The sequence below is a fragment of the Homo sapiens genome, chromosome 13 (assembly GCF_000001405.40).
Source record: "Homo sapiens chromosome 13, GRCh38.p14 Primary Assembly".
In the NCBI taxonomy this organism is placed as follows: domain Eukaryota; kingdom Metazoa; phylum Chordata; class Mammalia; order Primates; family Hominidae; genus Homo; species Homo sapiens.
The window spans coordinates 26096870-26102538 of record NC_000013.11 but is presented as its reverse complement, the minus strand read 5'-3'; the positions used below and the strand labels follow the sequence as shown (position 1 = coordinate 26102538).

General features: G+C 41.7%; 1 annotated feature.

The window, feature by feature from the left end:
* Window positions 3168-3669: an enhancer, noted in NCBI's record as "NANOG hESC enhancer chr13:26673008-26673509 (GRCh37/hg19 assembly coordinates)". NCBI's record gives its function as "activates a minimal SCP1, AML or CMV promoter by ChIP-STARR-seq in naive H9 embryonic stem cells {active_cell/tissue: H9 hESC(naive)}" and the evidence as "EXISTENCE:reporter gene assay evidence [ECO:0000049][PMID:30033119]".

Below are 5669 nucleotides of genomic sequence, written 5' to 3'. Positions count from 1 at the left end.
TAAAGCCAGGCTGATTGATTTATTCCCAGGGTGAAGAGAATAACTTCCCAATCACCTAAGTCACCCTCCAACAATGTCCTCATGAACAGCTCTCTTGGTCTAAATGTCCCACGTAAGTAATGTACTGTAAAGTGGCCTATGACATTGAAACCCCATCTACTCGTGGGAAGAATCAGTAATTAAAAGGTCATTCTACTGGAGAATATCACACTACGTGAAATAAGCAAGACACAAAAGGACAAATATGCATGATTCCATGTATGGGAGAAAGCTATGGTAGTCAAATTCACAGAGACAGAAAGTAGATGGGCGGTTGCCAGGGGTTGGGAGGAGAGAGGAATGAAGAGATTGGTCTGCAAGATGAAAAGATGAAAAGCACTCCAGACATGGATGGTGGGGATGGTTTCACACAATGTGAATGTAGTTAATGCCAGTGAACTGTACACTTAAAAATAGTTAAGATGGAAAATGTTGTTATGTGTATTTTACACAAATATAAAAAATAAATGAAAACTACCTGAATTATTATCTTTTTTATTTAAGTAAGGTAGTTCTCATAGAGAAGGAGAGCTCAATTACATTTGAGAAATTTGTGTACTTGTCCTAAAGTAAGTGCAATTTGGAAGAAGGTCATTCCTGGTCTCTCATCCCTAAATCATAAAACTTTTAAATGTAAAATCCTGATGTTTTCAAGATTCTTTAACAGATTCCCAATATGCCATTTTAAAGGTAAAAGTGGTGTTTGACTCCAAATAATTTTTACCAAAAAAAATTTGCATATACTTTTTTGGTATAGAGTTAATATAGCCCAGTTAAGCATGAAAACTTTTTAAGGTTATTTCATTTTCCCCATTCCCCCACCTTTAATAAGCAATACATCTAAAAAGTGCCTCAATGGAAGGCACAGAGGCCCTATGTGAGCTGAGTTAGGTAATATGAATGCTGAATACTGTACTGGGAAAGAGAAAAGTCAAACAAAAAGGTAGTAACAATAAAGGAACACCTGGTATTTGTTGGAAATGAGAACTCCTTGCTCCTCCTCTTTTCTGTGACCAAGGTGTTCATTGAAAGCTGTAGAATTTTAAAATTCTAAGTTATCTTATTGTTGATTTTTCTTTTGTTTTACTGAGATTTAGACCTCTTTGGATGGATCACTATGTCTCTGTTGCACACAAGCGGAAACACATACACACACTGCTCTTGCAGCCTACCCTACGCCCAGTACTTCACTTTTCCCAACTCCCTAGAGACATTTAGGAAGAAACAGCTGCACAGTAACAAAAGGTGAAAAATGAACCAGGACAGGAACACATCAGGCAGAGCACGTATCTTAGGGATTTAGGTTACATCTCTCCCACCCTCATTCCCAACTGTGACCTTGATTTCTACTTCCCTGAGAAAGTGGAACAAGAAATGACCTCCCCTGTGCTCTCACCACACCTCTCCTTCCAGCAATACCCACCCACATGTTCTGCCTTCCCACAGCTTTGCTGTTCACACCTGTCTAAAGCCCATCTGATTTGCACCATTGAATCCATCCACTCTTGCTTACTGAAGAACACCACTCCAGCAATTCTCTCCTATTCCCTACATCATCCATTTTCCACTCTCTGCAGGATCATTCACACCAGCACACACAACAGGCTGTCCTAAAAAGTGGAACTTTCTCTTGACCACATGTTATCCATTAGATTTCACTTCATGTCATTACACTCCCTTGCAGTAGGAGTTCTTGATAAAAGCATCTGTGCCCACTGCCTCCAGTTCCTCTTCTCCCATCCTCTCTTAAATCCACTACATTCAGGCTTTCACTCTCACCATTCAATTGATGTCGGTCACCCATGACCTTCCTGTTGCTAAAAGCTACTGGTCCCTTCTTGCTCCTCATCCCAGTTGATGTACCAGCAGCAGGTGGCATTGTAGGTGGCTTCCTCCCCCTTGGGACATTTCTTTACCTGGTTTCCAGGGTACCACATTCTGAGTTTCCTCCTATCTCACAGGTCACCCTTCTAAAATTTTGACTGACTTCCTTCTTTTCTCTCCAATCTCTTAATATTTGAATGTCCCACGGATCCATTCGAATTTTTTTTTCTTTTCTCTGTCTATACTCACTCCACTGATAATCTCATCTAGTCTCATGGTTTTAAACATCAACCCTATGTTGATAATCCCCAAATTTATATGTGCAGCCTACCCACACCTCCCTCTCAAATCCCAAATTCAAACATCTAACTACCCATTTAGCATCCCCATTTGGTTGTCTACTAGATATTTTAGACTTCACATATCCAAAACCAAACTCTAGGTTTTCCTTTCCGCCAAGCCTGCACCATCCACAGCCTTGGCCCTCTCAGTTGATGACAACTCCATATTTCCAGTTCAGTTTGGCTCAGGCCAAAATCCTTGAGTCACACATTAGGCCACTGCATTGGCTCTGCCATTACATTGTATTCAGACCCCGACTGCTTCTTGCTCACTTCACTGTGGTCTGAACCACCATCATCTCTGTCTGCACTACCACGACAGCCTCCTAACAAGTCTTCTTGCTTCCACCCCAGCTCCATGCAGCAGCCAAAGTAATCCATTTATAATACATCAGAGCAAGCAGATCAGTTTTTGGCTCAAAACTCTGCTATCCAGTGGCTATCCATCACACTCAAAGTAAAGTCAAAGTCCTTACAATGACCAGCAAGGACTTGCTTGATCTGGGCTCCATCACCTCCCTGGTGTCATTTCTCACTCTTCTTGCTCTTCCCTCATTCCATTCCAGCCTCTGTGCTTTTCTCGTAATGTACCAGGAATGCTAGAGCTTTTGCACTGGATCTACCCTCTGCCTAGATTGCTAATCTCTCATATCTGGTTTGGCTCACCTCTTCACTTCCTTGATGTCTTTGCCCAAATATCACCTTTTCAGTGTAGCCCACCCTCGCTGCTCTACACAACTCCCACCCTCTATCTCCAGTTTATGTTTTCTTTCCCTTGTAGCTCTTTATTATGCTCTTGGCTACTACATGATTAGCTTTTTATTATGCCCTTGCTTATTATCTGTCTTCATTGCTAGACTGTAAGCTCCGTGACAGCATTTTTTGTTTTCTTCATTGATTTATTTCAAGCATATAGAAGAATGCCCAGTATATAGTATGCACTCAACAAAAAGTTTGTTGGATGAGTGAACTAATTTATTAGTTAACACTCCATGCTGAATTATACGTATGAACAGATACCCATTCCTTCTTCCATCTCTCCAACGTAAACTATAAATATGGGCAAAATGGAATTGATACTTATTGAGGACATACTGTGAGCTTGGTCCTCTGTTAAACATTTGAGCTCCTTTATTGCACTAAATCTTTAGAGACACCATGTGGAGTTAGTGAACAGATACTTGTTGAATGAAAGAATAACTGAATGGATCCCCATTTACAGAGAAGGAAATGGTGGCCTAGCAAGGTTAAGTCACTTGCCTTCAATTATATAGCTACTAACTGGTGGAGCCCAGACTGGAACTTCACTCTGCCTTGCTCCAAAGTGTTATATTGTTCAGTTCCAGAGCAGAGACATGAAAATCAGATAGATGGGCATCCCAGTTCTGCCGATTAACCAGCTACGGGGCATTAGATAAGTTAGTTATCACCTCTAAGCTCCAGTGTCTCTACTCTTTTGGGATTTCCTGCTGTTGGCATCATTATAGGCAGTGTGAAGTGTAAAAGGCCTTATGTATCTGGATTCAAATAGAGGAATAAGTGCTTTCTGAAAGAATCATAACATCCTAAAACCAATGTAATATGGAGAGTGTGAATCACCTCAGAATAGCATTGAACGGATATGAGAAATAGAAAAAATATATTTCAATTACTTTTTTAAAGTTATTCATTTTGTAGGAAGAAGTTATTTTCATGACTTACTATTTTTTAATATTATAATAGGAAATACTATTGGATGGTTAGATATTTTATTGAATCAAAGTTCTAAGGTGTTTTTTCTCCTCACATTCTTCCTCATTTCTGGAGAGAAAGACCCTCAGCCAGTTTGTAGCTTTTTAGATCCTGTATGTGTTTCTGTTGTATACCACGATATTGACTTTAATTTGTAAAGCACTCTAAGCAATTCAGATAGGAAACAAAAGGGGAAAATTCTCTGTTAATTTCAAGATGCCGGTTCTTTCTCATATTCTTGGCTGTGGCTGAGTATTGAGGAAGCAGATTCGTTAGGAAGCCAGCCAGGGAAAAGTTCACAGTTGTTGGGTCCATGGAGGGCTCCCTCCAGGCCCCCATCAAGACTCTGTGTCTGTTAGGACTTCCTGAAAGATGAATGAAAGTGGGGAATGCAAAGAGCTGGAGGCTTCCTCTGAGCTCCCTGTTTGGATGCAAACGGCAGTTAAATGTTCAGTAGGCAGAGCTGAGAGCAGGTCTGCATCCTCATCAGGTGCCATGGAGGCTGGTGGCCTGGATTTCTGTTCTCCCACTTAACTTCAGCTCTCACTCTTCTTCCCTGGGAGACTGTGAAAAGGAAAAACAGCTCAGTTTTCCAAATGATGTATATTGCCTCTGAATAAACGTCAGAACCAGGTTTTGTGAGGCCAAAACTTTATACAGTTGGGGGACCATCTTTAGGAAAATAATACAAAACTACAAATGCAAAATTAGGTTCAAAAGCAAATATTTACTTAGAATGAGAAAGAAATCGTCATATTTCACTAATGTATAAAAGTTGACAAATTCCAAAACATCGCCCAGAGCCTTGGATGGGGTGATGGAGTGGAAACTATGAGCTCCGGAAAGCCCACTGTGCGCATGCGTCTTGGTGCGCAAGGAGGAGAAACATTCCCTCCAGACCAAATCCGGCCATCCTGCTCCCTGCAGGTATTAGGTCAAGAATGAAAAGCAGGGCAATGGGCCTGGCAAAAAGAGAACGTTGGTTTCTTCCTTTGGGGAAGAGACTTTTAAAAATGTGAACACATCTTCCATTAAGAGGGAGTGGGAATATTTTTTATCTGCTCATTTTTATAGTCCTAAATGTTTTTATGATTAGAACATTAAAAATAAAATAGAAAGGGGCCTGGCGAGTGGCTCATGCCTGTAGTCCCACCACTTTGAGAGGCCGAGGTGGGTGGATCACTTTAGGTCAGGAGTTCGAGACCAGCCTGACCAACATGGTGAAACCCTGTCTCTACTAAAAATACAAAAATTAGCCAGGTGTGATGGCGGGCGCCTGTAATCCCAGCTACTCGGGAGGCTCAGGCAGAAGAATTTCTTGAACCCGGGAGGCGGAGGTTGCAGTGAGCCCAGATTGCACCACTGCACTCCAGCCTGGGCAACAGAGCAAGACTCTATCTTAAAAAAAAAGTAATTAATTAATTAGCTAAATTAAATTAAATATAGGGAGAGGCCTTTTCCCACTGTGATTGTTTGCGTAGCTGACTTAGCGTGGGCCCCTCCTTACACAGGGAGCTCAGGGCACCTTCCTCATGGGTTTCCCGCCACACCCAGGAAGTGTGCCATCCTCTCTCCCCCAGGAAATCCCCTCTCCCCAAGGGCATTCCCTCCTCCTCCTTCGTGCTGCCTCCGAACCATTGGTCATTCATACATGGCTATTCCAAGAAACACCTGAGTGCTTTTATAAAACTCTAAATTTCCACCTTGAGATTCTAAGTGAAATGTTCCTGAAGT